General features: G+C 42.3%; 1 pseudogene, besides 3 other annotated features; it reads left to right on the top strand.

Annotated features, from left to right (window-relative positions):
- Nucleotides 302-1,501: an enhancer, noted in NCBI's record as "CDK7 strongly-dependent group 2 enhancer chr12:14372961-14374160 (GRCh37/hg19 assembly coordinates)". NCBI's record gives its function as "activates an origin of replication core promoter dependent on BRD2, BRD4, P300/CBP, MED14 and CDK7 cofactors, with strong dependence on CDK7, by STARR-seq in HCT116 cells {active_cell/tissue: HCT116}" and the evidence as "EXISTENCE:reporter gene assay evidence [ECO:0000049][PMID:35650434]".
- Nucleotides 302-1,642: a biological region, named in NCBI's record as "CDK7 strongly-dependent group 2 enhancer GRCh37_chr12:14372961-14374160".
- Nucleotides 1,343-1,642: an enhancer, noted in NCBI's record as "active region_6039". NCBI's record gives its function as "activates an Ori minimal core promoter by ATAC-STARR-seq in GM12878 lymphoblastoid cells {active_cell/tissue: GM12878}" and the evidence as "EXISTENCE:reporter gene assay evidence [ECO:0000049][PMID:35858748]".
- On the top strand, nt 17,536-17,599 carry MRPS18CP4 (MRPS18C pseudogene 4; annotated as a pseudogene).

Genomic DNA, 17,870 nt, shown 5'->3' on the forward strand with positions numbered 1-17,870 from the left:
GACAGCCAGTCACTAGGTATTTCTCCCACCTTCTAAATTGTGACTGAGGAGCCTTATTTTTCTCACATGCCTTTCTTATCATGCCTGAGAGCTCTACTCCTTTACTAGGGAGGGACATATTAGCTAAAGGAGGGGCCATAATAAACTTGAATATAGAAGAAGAAATACCTGTTTGCTGCCCTCTACTCGTGGAGGGAGTTAATCCTGATGTCTGGGCAGAGGAAGGACAATACAGATGAGCAAAAAATGCTTGTCCAGTTCAAGTTAAATTAAAGGATCCTACCTCCTTTCCTTATCAAAGGCAGTACCCCCTCAGACCAGAAGCCCAACAAGGATTACAAAAGATCGTCAAAGACCTAAAAGCACAGGGATTAGTAAAACCATGCAACAGTCCATGCAACACTCGTATTCTAGGCATACAAAACCCCAACGGACAATGGAGGTTAGTGCAAGACCTCAGAATTATCAATGAGGCAGTTGTTCCTCTGTATCCAGTTGTACCTAATCCTTATACTCTACTCTCCTAGAAACCAGAGGAAGCAGAATGGTTTACAGTCCTAGATCTTAAGGACACTTTCTTCTGCATCCCTCTGCATCCTGACTCTCAATTTTTATTTGCCTTTAAAGATCCGTCAAACCCAGGGTCTCAGCTGACCTGGACTGTCCTACCATTCATTATAGGAGCTGGGATACGAGGAGGACTAGGAACCGGCATTGGAGGCATTACAACCTCCATCCAATTCTATTACAAATTATCACAAGAGTTAAATGATGACATGGCATGAATCGCAGATTCGCTGGTCACCTTACAAAGCCAGCTTAATTCTTTAGCAACAGTAGCCCTTCAAAATCGGACAGCCTTAGATTTATTAACAGCTGAAAGAGGTGGAACCTCTTTTTCTAGAAGAGTGCTGCTATTTCGTTAATCAATCCAGAATTGTCACCAAGAAGGTTAAGGAGTTTTGAGATGGGATACAGTGCTGGGCACAAGAGCTCCAAGACACAGGACCTTGGAATATTGTCAATCAATGGATGCCCTGGCTTCTCCCCTTCTTGGGGCCCTTGGTGGCTATTGTGATGTTGCTTATCTTTGGACCCTGCATTTTTAACCTCCTTGTAAAATTTGCCTCTTCCAGAATAGAATCCATGAAGCTGCAAATGGTTCTACAAATGGAGCCCCAAGTGACCACCACTAGCACCTACTATCAAGCACCCCTAGACCCACCCACCAACCTGTTCTCACACCACGACACCAAAGACTCCCCTCCTGAGGAAACCTCAACTGCAGTGCCCCTTCTACCCCCCAGTTCAGCAGGAAGTAGCTAGAACAATCGTCATCCAACTTCCCAACAGCACTTGGGCTTTCCTGTTGAAAGGGGGGACTGAGGGACTAAGTGGCTAAATTGGCTGGACTTCCTGGGTCAATAGGGACTTCCCTAAAGTGACTTTCCCCTAAGCCAAAATGAGTCATAGCTGCAAGCTAAGAGATTAAAACTTCAACCAATCAAAGGGGATTTTCCCCTAAGCCAAAATTAGTCATAGCTGCAAGCTAAAGGGATTGAAACTTCAACCAATCAAAGGGGACTTTCCCCTAAGCCAAAATGAGTCACAGCTACAAACTAAGGGATTGAAACTTCAACCAATCATATAGGGAGTTCAAGCTCTAGCTGCAGCCTGATGTTTTTAACCAATCAGGTCTGCCAACCCACAAGTGGATAGAAAATTAGCCAATCCTATAGGACAGAAAAAGAAAAGGGGAGGAGTCATAAGGGGATATAAGCATAAGACACCCAAGCCAAAAAACACAATCCTTCTGGGTCCCCTTCCACCACATGGAAGCTTTACTTTTGCGTTCCCTTTACTTTCCCTTTCGCTTTACTAAATCTTGCTGCCATAAAAAAAAAAAAAGAATCCCAGCCTGGTACAGTGACTCACACCAAGGAAGGCAGATCGATTGAGACAAGGAGTTCAAGACCAGTGTGGGCAACATGGCAAAACCCCATCTCTACAAAAAATACAAAAAAAAAAAAAATAGCTGGGAGTGGTGGTAGGTGCCTGTAGTCCTAGCTACTCAGGAGGCTGAGGTGGGAGGATCACTTGAGCCCAGGAGGTTGCAGTGAGCCGGGTTCATTCCACTGCATTCCAGCCTGGGCAACACAGCCATATCTTGGCTCAAAAAAAAAAAAAAAAAAAAAAACAAAAAAAAACAGAAGGCTATAATCTCAAGCACTTTGGGAGGCCAAGGCAGGCAATCACAAGGTCAGGAGATCAAGACCATCCTGGCTAACATGGTGAAACCCCGTCTCTGCTAAAAATACAAAAAGTTAGCTGGGCGTGGTGGCGGGCGTCTGTAGTCCCAGCTACTCGGAAGGCTGAGGCAGGAGAATGGCATGAACCCGGGAGGCGGAGCTTTCAGCCAGCCGAGATTGCACTACTGCACTCCTGCCTGGGTGACAGAGCAAGACTCCGTCAAAAAAAATAAAAGAAAAGAAAAAAGAAAAAAGGGCAGGGCGTGGTGGTTCACGCCTGTAATCCCAGCACTTTGGAAGGCCGAGGTGGGCAGATCACTTGAGGTCAGGAGTTCAAGACCAGCCTGGCCAACATGGTGAAACCCCATCTCTACTAAAAATACAAAAAAATTAGCTGGGCACAGTGGCAGGCCCCTGTAATCCCAGCTACTCAGGAGGCTGAGGCAGCAGAATCGCTTGAACCCAGGAGGCCAAGGTTGAAGTGAGCCAAGATTGCGCCGCTGCACTTCAGCCTGGGCAACAGAGCGAGACTCTGTCTCAAGAAAGAAAAGAAAAAAAAATCCCAGATGAATTTTCTTTTTTTTTTTTTTTTTTTTTGAGACAGTATCCCTGCCTCCCAGGCTGGAGTGCAGTGGCGCAATCTCAGCTCACTGCAAGCTCCGCCTTCCAGGTTCATGCCATTCTCCTGCCTCAGCCTCCCGAGTAGCTGGGATTACAGGTGCCCGCCACCATGTCCAGCTAATTTTTTGTATTTTTAGTAGAGATGGGGTTTAAACGTGTTAGCTAGTGTGGTCTCGATCTCCTGACCTCGTGATCCACTCGCCTTGGCCTCCCAAAGTGCTGGGATTACAGGCGTGAGCCACCACGCCTGACCCTAGCTTAATTTTCTTAAAAGGAAGCTGAATTGGCAGAGTTGTCCCACAGTGGACTAAAACAGCCAGGCCTTTATACCTCCACCTTGATCACTGGATGTAGGCTGTCCTGGTAAGGGTGCCCCACCTTAGTCACACAGGAAGCTGATGCAGTCCCTGAAGACACTGCTAGCTGAAGGCTTTCCCCTCGTAGCACTCCCAGTAGTTGGGAAAACAATTCCTTCACTGAAGTAGGGTCTGGACACCATACTTGGTATGTCTTCACAAAATATTTTTGTTTTTTTGTTTTTTTGAGACAGAGTCGCTCTGTCGCCCAAGCTGGAGTGCAGTGGCGTGATCTCGGCTCACTGCAAGCTCCGCCTCCCAGGTTCACGCCATTCTCCTGCCTCAGCCTCCCTACTAGCTGGGACTATAGGTGCCCGCCACCACGTCTGGCTAATTTTTTTTTATTTTTAGTAGAGACGGGGTTTCACCGTGTTAGCCAGGATAGTCTCAATCTCCTGACCTCATGATACACTCGCCTCGGCCTCCCAAAGTGCTGGGATTACAGGCGTGAGCCACCACGCCCAGCCCTTCCTCTATCTTAATAACACAGTGGTTAAACGCAACAGTACTGAATTGTCTAGTTAGTTTAATGTTATGTATTTCATACACTATTAACACTAGTATGGGAAGCATTTATAAAAATCATGTACCATTAATTAATTTTCTTTCACTTAAAAGTTAAAGCTTTGAGGATTCTGTTTGAAAATATATGTAAAATGATAAAGACCAAATGTGTGTTAATTCAAATATTTAATTAAAGAATAAAATAAGAATAATGAGCTATTTGAAATTGTTGTGAAATTGGTGTAGTGACTTTTGATTCAAACATTTAAATCTGCTGAGGTTAGTTTTGGTACAACTATTCTCAGGATTACATTTATAGACCCTCATCTAGTTAAATTTAGTTTTCTGACTTTAACAGTGATTCAGGCCAGAGACAGTGGCTCACTTCTATAATCCCAGCACTTTGGGAGGCTGAGGCAGGAGAATCACTTGAGACCAGGAGTTTGAGACAAGTCTGGGCAACATAGACCTCATATCTACAAAAAGTTGGGTTTTGTTTTGTTTTTTGAGACAGGGTTTCCACTCTGCCTGCCCAGGCTGGAGTGCAGTGGTACAGTCTCAACTCACTGCAACCTCCGCCTCCTGGGCTCAAGCAATCCTGCCGCCTCAGCCCCCCAAGTAGCTGGGATTACAGGCACGAGCCACCATTTCTGGCTAATTTTTGGATTTTTTGTAGAGATGGGGTTTCACCATGTTGCCCAGGATGATCTCAAACTCCTGAGATCAAGCGACCCACCGACCTCGGCCTCCCAAAGTGCTGGGATTACAGGCTTGAGCCACCACAGCTGGCTTCTACAAAAAGTTTAAAAATAAAAGTGATTCACATAAAAAACAAACTAGATTTTTTTTTTTTTTGAGGCGAAGTTTTGCTCTTGTTGCCCAGGCAGGAGTGCAATGGCGTGATCTCGGCTCACCGTAACCTCTGCCTCCCAGGTTCAAGTGATTCTCCTGCCTCAGCCTCCTGAGTAGCTAGGATTACAGGCATGCACCACCACACCCAGCTAATTTTGTATTTTTAGCAGAGTCGAGGTTTCTCCATGTTGGTCAGGCTGGTCTCGAACTCCCGACCTCAGGTGATCCACCCGCCTCCCAAAGTGCTGGGATTACAGGCGTGAGCCATGGCGCCCCGCCCAAACTAGATTTTTTTTATGACTGTAAAGGAATATATGTTCATTGCAAGAAATGAAATATTTAAAAGTACAAAAGTAAAAAATATTAAACATAATTCCATGACCAAATAAAAACTTTTTTTTTTTTTAGAACAGGATCTCACTATATTGCCCAGGCAGGTCTCGAACTCTTGAGCTCAAGCTATCCTCCTGCCTCTGCCTCCCTAAGAGCTGGGATTACAAGTGTGAGCCACCACTCCTGGCCAATAAAAACCATTTTAATAGTGTAATATATACGTTAGTTATATATATATGCATAAAAACATATATATGTAAATCACCATTATACTCTACATAATTATTTCTAACTAATTGTATTTTATTATACTTTAAAATTCTTTGGAGGAATAGCAGAGATTAGTGTTACTATCAAAAACTTGAGATTCTAAGGTAGTGATTCCTATTACATTACCATTTAACTTGCTTATATGACATGTCAGAAGGCAGAGGTATCATGGAGACTGACTATAGATTATCATAAAATAAATTAGGTGGTGAGTTCAGTTGCAGCTACTGTTTCAGATATGGTTTCTTTAGTGGAGTGAATCAATACAGCCTGTGGCGTCTATTCTGCAGTGTTATATGTTTATTTCTGTAATAACAATGTGTAAGGATCACAGGAACAGTTTGCCTTCACCTGGTAGAGTCAGCAGTATACTTTCATGGTCTTTCCTTAGGTGTCAATGTCAATTTTCTTGTTTTCTGCCATAATCTAACCCAAGTATAAGAAAATTGCAACCCACAGACCAAATTCATCCTGATACATTTTTGTATAGTCCGTAAGCTAAGAATCGTCTTCATATTTTTAAACGGTTGACAAAAATTAAATGATGAATTTATCTAAAGATAAATAAGAATTAAATGAAATTCTAATTTCTCTGACTAGTGTAATAAAAGATATTTAAAAATAAATAAATAATAAAATAATAAATGAAGTGTTGGTAGAACACAGCCATACTCATTTGCTCACATATTATTTATCTATGGCTGTTTTCACACTACAGGGTTGAATAGTTGTAACACAGGCTACACAGCTCACAAGCCTAAAATATTCAGCACATGGTCCTTTACAGAAAATATCAACCTCTGATCGAATTCACAGAGACGCTGATTGTCTTGAAATGCCACAGAACATCATGCCAACCCACCTCACAGATCACAACATGCTGAGTAGAACTGATGAGCAGAAAATAGCAAGTATCCGATTTGTCAAAGTGATACGCATATGTGATCCAGGATGGCAGATAATACTCTGTTACCTCAGTGACATCTCTAGGCGCTCAGTAGTCTGGGTCATGTCGAGATAGCTCCTCTAAAATAAAGGAGAAGTTGCTGAACACTGCACTTCGTGAGAAGAAAACAGAGACACACATGATTTGGATCTCTCTTGATCTGATAGCCAACAAATAGATATTTGAGCATACTGCCAGTGTGAATCCACAAGTAAAAGAAAGCTCTACAGCAGGTCCTGGATGAAATTTAAAAGCTGTTCTGCCACCTGGACCTTATGACCTAGCAGATTCAATAAGAGTCAGCTTTTGCAACAGAAAGAATGCTATTCAGAACCACTAGAACGTGGCAATAGAAGAATCACAATGTCTCCACTTAAAGTTTTGAAGTAAGGCTTGCTTTCTTCTGCAGATAACATGTCTTCTTTGGAGAAACATGTCTTGGAGTTCTACTGAGCTCTGGCAAAGATTAAATGCCTGATCATCATAACTCAAATGATCATGAGAACTGAGCTACCCGTCACAAATTGTGTGTTAGACAGACACAGCAGCTAGTTCATCACAAAGTGGAAATAATGTATATTATATCAGTCTCAAAAGGTACTGAGGGCACAAGCTGGTTGCTTAAACAGGGACCGCAGATTTCCAGAACATCTATTCCTGCTTCGTTACCTCCCCTCAATATACATGCATGGCCTCATGGAAAATTCCTTACAGCCACTTAACTAAGAGTGGGTTTATAGATGGTTTTACACTAAATGCTTACATTTAGTGTAAAATGTAGTTTCATTGCTGTAGTACTATAGTATAATACAATGTCCCTCAAAACAATAGCTAAGGGAAATTCTGCTAGTGGGAAAAACTTCAAGCAGTACAACCAGTCATATATCTTGTTTGTAAAGAGAGATGACTACTACCGTGTATATGTATATGTATATGTATATGCATATGTATATATATATGCATATGTATATATACACACACACAAACATTCATGTCATCTGCAAACAGACAATTTGATCTCCTCCTTTCCAACTTGGATGTTCTTTATTTCTTTCTCTTGCCTAATTGTTCTGGCTAGAACTTCCAATACTATGCCGCAGAAGAGTGATGAGAGTGGGCATCCTTGTCTTGCTCCAGTTCTAAGAGGAAATGCTTTCAACTTTTACCTGTTCAATATGATGTTAACTGCGGGTTTGTCATACATGGAGTTTATTGTCTTGAGGTATATTCCTTATATACCTAATTTGTTGAGTTTTTTTTATCTTGAAGGGATGTTAAATTTTCTCAAAAACGGAAAGATATTGAGATGCAGAATGATATTGAGATTATATTGTTTTTGTCCTTCATTCTGTTGATATGATATATCACATTTATTGATTTATGTATGTTGCCCCATCCTTGAATCCCAGAGATAAACCTCACTTGATCATGGGGTATAATCTGTTCGATGTACTGTTGAATTTGGTTTGCTAGTATTTTGTTGAGGATTTTTGTAGCTATGTTCATCAGGGATATTGGCCTACAGTTTTTTGCTGTTGTTGTTGTGTCCTTGTCGGGTTTTGGTATTAGGGCAATGCCAGCCTCATGAGTTAGGAAGAATTTCCACCCCATCAATTTTTTTGAGTAATTTGAGAGAAATTGGTGTTAGTTCTTTAAAAATTTTGTAGGATTCAGTAGTAAAGCCATCTGGTCATGGGCTTTTCTTTGTTGGAAGACTTTATTACTGATTCAATTTTTTGCTCATCGTTGGTTTATTCAGGTTTTCTATTTCTTTACGGTTCAACCTTGGTAGGTTGTATGTGTCCAGGAATTTATTCACTTCCTCTAGGTTTTCCAATTTGTTGATGTATAGTTGTTCACAATAGTCTCTAATGATCCTTTGTATTTCTGTGATATCAGTCGTAATGTCTCCTTTTTTATTTGTGATTTTATTTATTAGGGTCTTCTCTCATTTTTTCTCAGTCTAATTAAAAGTTTGTCTAATTTTTTTATCTTTTCATAAAACCAACTTTTTGATTTATCGATCCTTTGCATTTTTCTAGTCCCAACTATGTTTATTTCTGCTCTAATTTTTATAATTTCTTTCCTTCTACTAATTTTGACTTAGGCTTCTTCTTGCTTTTCTAGTCTCCCAAGCTACATAATTAGATTGTTTATTTAAAAAATTTCTAGTTTTTTGACATAGCTGTTTATTGCCATCAACTTCCGACTTATTCCTGTTTGTTTTTGTTTTTGTTTTGTTTTGTTTGTTTGTGAGACGGAGTCTTGCTCTGTCGCCCAGGCTGGAGTGCAGTGGCGCGATCTCTGCTCACTGCAAGCTCTGCCTCCCAGTTCACGCCATTCTCCTGCCTCAGCCTCCCAAGTAGCTGGGACTACAGGCGCCCGCCACCACACCTGGCTAATTTTTTGCATTTTTAGTAGAGACAGGGTTTCATTGTGTTAGCCAGGATGGTCTCTATCTCCTGACCTCGTGATCCACCCGCCTTGGCCTCCCAAAGTGCTGGGATTACAGGCATGAGCCACCGTGCTCTGTTTTTTATATCTCCCATAGGTTTTGGTATTTTGTGTTTCTATTTTCATTTGATTCAAAAAATTTTTAATTTTCTTCTTAATTTCTTTATTGTCCCATTGGTTATTCAGAAGCATGTTATTTCATTTCCATGTATTTGTACACTTCCTAAAGTTACTCTAGTGATGGATTTTTAATTTTATTCCATTGTGGGCAACATGGATACTTGATATGATTTCAATTTTTAAAAATTTGTTGAGATTTGCTTCGTAGCCTAACATATGGCATGTTCCATGTGCTGATGAGAAAAATGAGTTATTCTGCAACTATTAAATAAAATATTCTGTAAATGTCTGTTAGGTCCATTTGGTCTATGGTGCAGTTTAAATCCGGTGTTTCTTTGTTGATTATCTGTCTAGATAATCTGCCCAATGCTGACAGTGGGGCATTTAAGTCCTCAACTATTATTGTATTGATATCTATCTCTCCCCCTAAATCTAATGATATTTGCTTTATATATCTGAGTGCTCCAGTGTTGAGTACATATTTATTTAGAATTGTTATATCCTCTCACTGAATTGATCCCTTTATTATTATATAATTACCTTCTCTGTATCTTTTTATAGCTTTTGACTTGAAGTCTGTTTAAGTCTGATACAAGCATAGCTGCTCTTGTTTATTTTTGGTTTCTGCTTGCATGGAATATCTTTTTTCATCCCTTCACTTTCAGTCTATGTGTGTCTTTGTAGGTGAAGTGAGTTTCTTGTAAGCAGTATATAGTTGAGTCTTGATATTTTTTTATCTATTCAGCCAGCCTATATCTTTCTAATTGGGGATTTAATGTTTACATTCAAGATTTTGTTTTTCGTTCAAGATTATTGATAAGTAAGAAAAAAACTCCTGACATTTTGTTAATTGTTTTCTGGTTGTTTTAGATTTCTTTTCTTCCTTTCTTCCTCTCTTATTGTTTATCTTTGTGATTTGGTGGTTTTCTGTAGTGATGAGGTTTGATTCCTTTCTCTTTCTCATTTGGATAACTGTTCTACCTGTGAGTTTTATACTTTCACGTGATTTCATGATGGCAGTAATCATCCTTTTCCTCCAAACGTAGGACTTTCTTAAGCATTTCTTATAAGGCTAGTCTAGTGATAATCAATTCCTTCAGCTTTTGCTTGTCTGGTGATGTAGTTTAAATGTGTGTCCCTGCCCAAATCTCATGTTGACTTGTAATCCCATGTTAGAGGTGGGGCCTGGTGAAAGGTGACTGGATCATAAAGGCAAATTTATCATGAATAGTTTATCACTATCCCCTTGGTGTTGTCCTCAGTAGTGAGTTCTCTTTTTTTTTTTTTTTTTTTTTGAGACGATGTCTTGCTCAGTCGCCCAGGCTGGAGTGCAGTGGCGTGATCTTGGCTCACTGCAAGCTCCGCCTCCTGGGTTCACGCCATTCTCCTGCCTCAGCCTCCCAAGTAGCTGGGACTACAGGGGCCTGCCACCACACCCAGCTAATTTTTTTTTTTGTATTTTTTTAGTAGAGATGGGGTTTCACCGTGTTAGCCAGGATGGTCTCGATCTCCTGACCTTGTGATCCACCCACCTCAGCTTCCCAAAGTGCTGGGATTACAGGCATGAGCCACCACACCCAGCCAGCAGTAAGTTCTCATGAGATCTGGCCCCTTAAAAGTATATGGCACTTCCCCACCTTCTCTTGCTCCTGCTTTCTCCTTGTAATGTGCCTGCTCCTTCTTTGCTTTCTGCCATGATTGGAAGCTTCCTGAGGCCTCCCCAGAAGCAAGATGCCACTATGCTTCCTGTACAGCCTGTAGAACCATTAGCCCATAAAACCTCTCCTTTTATAAATTACCCAATCTCAGGTACTTCTTTGTAGCAATGCAAGAACGGCCAAATACACCTGGGAAAGTCTTTATTTCTCCTTCATTCTGAAGGATAACTTTGGTGGGTATAGTATTCTTTGCTGGCAGTTTTGTTCTTTCACCACTTTGAATATGTCATCCTATTCTCTCCTGGCTTGTAAGCTTTCTGCCAAGGAATCTGCTGTTTCTCTAATGGGGATTTCCTTGTGTGCAATAACACTTTTGTCTTGCTGTTTTTAGAATTATTTGTCTTTTTGACAGTTTTACTATAATGTGACTTGAAGGGGACCTTTTTGGGTTGAATCTATTTGGGAAACTTTGAGCTTCCTGGATTTAACATCTATATCTCTCCTAAGATTTGGGGAGTTTTCAGCTGTTATTTCATTAAATGGGTTTTTCTATATCTTTTCCCATTTCTCCTTAAACATCCATAGTGTAAATATATGTTCACTTAATCATGCCTCACAAGTCCCTTAGGCTGCTTTCTTCATTCTTTTCTTTGTTTTAAAGACAGAGTCTCTGCTACCCAGGCTGGAGTGCAGTGTATGATTATAGTTTACTGCAGCCTCAAACTCCTGGGCACAATGATCCTTCCACCTTAGCCTCGCAAGTAGCTGGGACTGCAGATGCATGCAACCACACCTGGCTAATCTTTTTCCCCCAGAGATGGGGTCTGACTTTGCTGCCCATGCTGGTCTCAAATTCCTAGGCTCAAGCAATTCTCCCACATCAGCCTCTCAAGTAACTAAAATTACAGGCATGAGCCCATGTGCCCAGATTTTTCTTTTTAACTTTTTATTTTTGGTGGTCTGACTGGGTTATTTCAAAAGTCTTTTTGAATTCTTTCAAAAGAGTTTCAGAAATTCTTTCTTCTGCTTGATCTACTCTATTGTTGAAGCTCTCAACCATATTTTTTATTTGTTAAATTCTTCAGCTCCAAATTTTCTGTTTGGTTTCTTTTTTTGATATCTATTTATTTGTTGAATTTCTCATTCAGATCGTGAATTTCTCTCCTAATTTTGTTAAATTGTCTATCTGTATTCTTTTGTATCTCACTGAGTTACCTTAAGATCATTATTTTGAATTTCTTTTCAGGCATTTCATTGATTTCCTTTTCTTCAAGTCTGTTACTAGAGAATCATTGTGTTCCTTTGGAGGTGTCATCAGATCAGCCCAAGGAACATCTCACCAATTTCAAATCAGGAAGCGGTCTCTTCACTCTCTTCTCCAGCCTCTCTTGCTACCCTTCAGTCTCCCTATCCTTCCAATTCCAGTTCTTTTCCTTTCTAGTAGAGACAAAGGAGACACATTTTATCTGTGAACTCAAAAACTCCAATGTCCGTCACAGATTTGGGAAGACAGTCTTCCCTTGGTGTTTGATCATAGCGGGGACGCCTGCCTTCATCATTCACCCACACTCCCTTGGTGGCAGGTCAATTGCAGGGACACCTGCTTTGGCTGCTCACCCACATTACAGCCCAGGACTCAGTCAGGGACGCATACTGGAAGCCTGGTATCTGCCCACCTCCATTTCTCCGTGTCTCTACCTTCCTCTTTAAACTTACCTTCTCCACTATGGGCAACCTTCTACCATCCATTCCTCCCTCTTCCCCCTTAGCCTGTGTTCTTAAAAACCTAAAACCCCTTCGACTAACATCTGACCTAAAACCTAAACGTCTTATTTTCTTCTGTAATACCGCTTGGCCCCAATACAAACTCGACAATAGTTCCAAGTGGCCAGAGAATGGCACTTTTGATTTGTCCATCCTACAAGATCTAGATAATTTTTGTCATAAAATGGGCAAATGGTCTGAGGTGCCTGACATCCAGGCATTCTTTACACATCAGTCACTTCCTAGTCTCTGCTCCCAATGCAACTCGTCCCAAATCTTTCTTCTTTCTCTCCTGTCTGGTCCTTCAGTCTCCACCCCAAGCTCTGAGTCCTTTGAATCCTCCTTTTCTACAGACCCATCTGACCTCTCCCCTCCTCCCCAGGCTGAGCCAGGTCCCAATTCTTCCTCAGCCTCCGCTCCCCCACCCTATAATCCTTCTATCACCTCCCCTCCTCACACCCAGTCTGGCTTACACTTTTGTTCCACGACTAGCCCTCCCCCACCTGCCCAACAATTTCCTCTTAGAGAGGTGGCTGGATCTGAAGGCATAATCCAGGTTAATGCTCCTTTTTCTTCATCTGACCTCTCCCAAATCAGTTAGCGTTTAGACTCTTTTTCATCAAATATAAAAACCCAGCCCAGTTCATGGCCCGTTTGGCAACAACCTTTAAACGCTTTACCACCCTAGACCCACAGGGCCCAGAAGGCTGTCTTATTCTCAAAATGCATTTTATTACCCAGTCCACTCCCGACGTTACAAAAAGCTCCAAAAATTAGATTCCGGCCCTCAAACCCCACAACAGGACTTAATTAATCTTCTCTTCAAGGTGTACAATAATAGAGAAGAGGCAACCAAGTGGCAATGTATTTCTGAGTTGCAATTACTTGCCTCCACTGTGAGAGAAACCCCAGCCATATCTCCAGCATACAAGAACTTCAAAATGCCTAAACCACACCAGCCAGGCGTTCCTCCAGGACCTCCTCCCCCAGGATCTTGCTTCAAGTGCCAGAAATCTGGCCACTGGGCCAAGGAATGCCCGCAGCCCAGGATTCCTCCTAAGCCGTGTCCCATCTGTGCGGGACCCCACTGGAAATGAGACTGTCCAACTCGCCTGGCAGCCACTCCCAGAGCCCCTGGAACTCTGGCCCCAGGCTCTCTGACTGACTCCTTCCCAGATCTTCTCAGCTCAGCGGCTGAAGACTGACACTGCCGATTACCTTGGAAGCCTCCTGGACCATCACAGACACTTTGGGTAACTCGTACAGTGGAGGGTAAATCCGTCCCCTTCTTCATCAATATGGAGGCTATCCACTCCACATTACCTTCTTTTCAAGGGCCTGTTTCCCTTGCCTCCATAACTGTTGTTGGTATTGATGGCCAGGCTTCTAAACCTCTTAAAACTTCCCAACTCTGGTGCCAACTTGGACATTATTTTATGCACTCCTTTTTAGTTATCCCCACCTGCCCAGCTCCCTTATTAGGTCGAGACATTTTAACTAAATTATCTGCTTCCCTGACTATTCCTGGGCTATAGCCACACCTTATTGCCACCCTTTTCCCCAGTTCAAAGCCTCCTTCACATCCTCCTCTCATGTCTCCCTACCTTAATCCACAAATATGGGATACCTCTACTCCCTCCTTGGTGACCGATCAGGCACCCTTTACCATCCCATTAAAACCTAATCACCCTTACCCCACTCAATGCCAATATCCCATCCCACAGCAGGCTTTAAAAGGGTTAAAGCCTGTTATCACCCGCCTGTTACCACATGGCCTCTTAAAGCCTACAGATTCTCCTTACAACTCCCCTATCCTACCCATCCAGAAACCGGACGAGTCTTACAGGTTGGTTCAGGATCTTCGCCTTATTAACTTAATTGTCTTACCTATCCATCCTGTGGTGCCAAACCAATAAACTCTCCTATCCTCAATACCTCCCTCCACAACTCATTACTCCATTATTGACCTCAAAGATGCTTTCTTCACTATTCCTTTGCACCCCTCATCCCAACCTCTTTTTGCTTTCACATGGGCTGACCCTGACACCCACCAATCTCAGCAACCCACCTGGACTGTACTGCTGCAAGGCTTCAGAGACAGCCCCCATTACTTTAGTCAAGCTCTTTTTCATAATTTACTTTCTTTCCGTCCATCTGTTTCTCACCTTATTCAATATATGGACGTACCTTCTTGTTCAGCCCCAACCTCGTGACAGACACCAGCCCTCTAGGTGACTGTCTTCCAGTCCTCCAGCAGGCTAGACAGGAAATTCACCAGGCTGCTAATCTTCTCTTGCCTACTCCAGACTCCCAGCTATATGAAGACACCCTAGCTGGATGATCAGTTCTTGTTACAAATCTGACCCCTCAAACTCTACAACCTTGACGGACCGGACCCTACTTAGTCATCTATAGTACCCCAATTGCCATCCACCTGCAGGACCCTCCCCATTGGGTTCACCATTCCAGAATAAAGCTGTGTCCCTCGGACAGCCAGCCTGATCTCTCCTCTTCCTCTTGGAAGTCACAAGTACTCTCCCCTACTTCCCTTAAACTCACATTTCTGAAGAACAGTAATAACCCTTATGAGCCTAATACATCCCTTCATTCTATTAGGTCTATTGGTCCTTACCCTGCTTTTTACAACAGGGCTTTACGCAATCACCCCCACTACTTGGACTGCACCCCAAAAACTTGTCATTCCTACTATCTTCTGTCTAATCATACTCCTATTCACCATTCTCAACTACTCGCAAATGCCCTGCCCTTGTTTACACTGCCAGTTTACACTTTTCCTCCAAACCATCATAACTGATATCTCCTGGTTTTACCTCAAACCACCACCCTTAACTCTCTCTTGGAGTGGATAGAAGATCTTCAGTGGCAAGGTACACTCCAATTCTATCCTGATGAAGTCCTTTTTTTACTTTTCTACTCACTCTTATCCTTGCCCCCATTCTCCAGTCACTCTCTACCTCTCCCTAGTTACCTCCAGCATACTATCAATCTCACCCACTCTCTCCTCACTGCCTCCAATCCTTCTCTAGCAAAGAATTGTTGGCTATGCATTTCCCTTTCTTCCTGCTCTTATACAGCCATCCCCGCTCTACAGGCCAACTGGGCTACCTCTCCTGTCTCCCTGCACCTCCAACCTTCCTTTAATAGCCCTCATCTTTACCCATCTGAGGAACTTCTTTACTTTCTAGACAGATTAGGTGAGAACTCCCCAGACATTTCGCACCAACGAGCTGCCACACTTCTCAACATCTACTTATGGCACCTTTCTCCTTATGTCAATTCCACCCTTGCCCCCATATTTGGACCCCTAACCACACAAACAACTATCCCTATTGCCATTCCTTTATGCATCTCCTGACAACAGCCTACTGGAATCCCTTTAGACAACCTTCCACCGTCCAAATGTTCCTTTACTCTTTATCTCCAGAACCCAGCCACACACATTACCAAACAGATGGGAGCATTCCAACTTCACATTACTGATAAGCCTCTATCATTACTGACAAACTAAAAAACATTGGCAGTCACTATTGTTTAGGAAGACACCTACCCTGCATCTCACTCCAGCCTTGGCTACCCTCCCCCTGCTCATCTGACTCTCCTCCTAGCCCCTCCTCTTGCTTGCTTATACCCAGCCCCATGAATAACAGTGAAAGGTTACTCGTAGACACTATGTGCTTTCTCATACACCATGAGAACCGAACCTCTGCCTCCATGCAGTTGCACCATCAATTCCCATTACAACCTCTAATGGCTGCTGCCCTTGCTGGGATTCTGGGCACAGGTCTCCTCTTTCAGTACACCCTCTCACCTTTTCACTTTACATTTCCAGTTCTGCCTGACACAAGGTCTCTTCTTTTTATGTGGCTCTTCCACCTACATGTGCCTACCTGCCAACTGGACAGGCACATGTACTCTAGTCTTCCTTACCCCCAAAATCCAGTTTGCAGATGGGAACGATCAACTGCCTGTCCCCCTCATGACACCAACACAACAAAAAAGAGTCATCCCACTAATCCCTTTACTTGTGGGTCTAGGACTTTCTGCCTCCACTATTGCACTTGAAACTGGAATAGCAGGCATCTCAACCGCTGCCGCAACATTCTGCAGCCTCTCTAATGACTTCTCTGCTAGCATTACAGATATATCACAAACTTTATCTGTCCTCCAAGCCCAGGTTGACTCTTTAGCTGCAGCTGTCCTCCAGAACCACCAAGGCCTCGATTTACTCACTGCTGAAAAAGGAGGACTCTGTATATTTCTTAATGAAGAGTGTTGTTTTTACTTAAATCAATCTGGCCTGGTATATGATAACATCAAAAAACTCAAAGACAGAGCTCAAAAACGTGCTAATCAGGCAACTAATTATCCTGGACCCACCTGGCCACTCTCTAAAAACTGGGTATCCTGCTTCTTCCAATTGTTAGTCCTCTAATACCTATCTTCCTCCTTCTCTTATTCGGGCCTCGTGTCTTCCGGTTAATCTCTCAATTCCTACGAAACCGCATCCAGGCTATCACTAATCACTCTATATGGCAAATGCTGCTTTTAACAACCTGACAATATCACCCCTTACCCCAAAATCTTACTTCAGTCTAATCTCTCCCACTTTAGGTTCCCGCACCACCCCTAATCCCGCTCGAAGCAGCCCTGAGAAACGTTGCCCATCACCCCTCCAGACCACCCCCAAAATTTTCGCCTCAAGTTTTCACTACTCTTTCTCGTTTTAGTTCTTCATTATTAACATAAAAAGACAGGAATGTAAGGTCCTCTGAGCTGGCCACACCATGATCAAGCCATCGTGACATTCCCCTGTCCTTGTGATAATGTACTTTGTGATATTCCCCATCCTTGTGAATGTACTTTATAACATTCCTCCCTGCCTTGTGACAATACACCCTCCCTGCCCTTGTAAATGTACTTTGTAACATCCCCACCCCCTCCTTGTGACAATACCTCCTCCCTGCCCTTGTGAATGTACTTTGTAACATCCTCCCCACCCTTAAGAATGTACTTTGTAACATCCATCCCCTGCCCACAAAAAAAAATTGCTCCTAACTCCACCGCCTATCCCAAACCTATAAGAACCAGTGATAATCCCACCACCCTTCACTGACTCCTTTCTCGGACTCAGCCCACTTGCACCCAAGTGAATAAACAGCCTTGTTGCTGACACTAAGCCTGCTCAGGTGGTCTCTTATATAGACACGCTTAACATAGATATCATGTGGAAAGCATGTAAATTATAAGAATGTACCGCTTTTGTCTCATTTTATTTCTCCATTTACTGGATGCATTTATGGAAGGCACGTAACAGGTCTTTGTGGGAAGACACGGAAAGAAATCACAAAAGCAATTAAGAGAGCTCAAATAATGGGGTTTATGCAAGTTACATACAAGGATACTGCATACCTCAAAGACCCCAAAGTTTGTAACATCAATTATCAGGAATAAAATTATATAAGGTTACCACCAATAAACTTATTTTACAGTTAAAACAAAAGTTTTTCTCTTTTTTATCTCTGAATTGTTTATTTAAAGACAATTTCAATAGAAATATTTGATTTGGGGGAACTTCTAACCACTAAACAAATAGCAATTATCCTAGTATTGGATCATCTTTGTCTCCTATCACTATCATTTTCTTTCCTATTGCTTTCATTTTTATCTCTTTTCTTAGACATGGTTTAAACATTAATCACGTTTTAACTTACTTAACACTTGT

Source organism: Homo sapiens, chromosome 12 (genome assembly GCF_000001405.40).
Source record: "Homo sapiens chromosome 12, GRCh38.p14 Primary Assembly".
Taxonomy (NCBI): domain Eukaryota; kingdom Metazoa; phylum Chordata; class Mammalia; order Primates; family Hominidae; genus Homo; species Homo sapiens.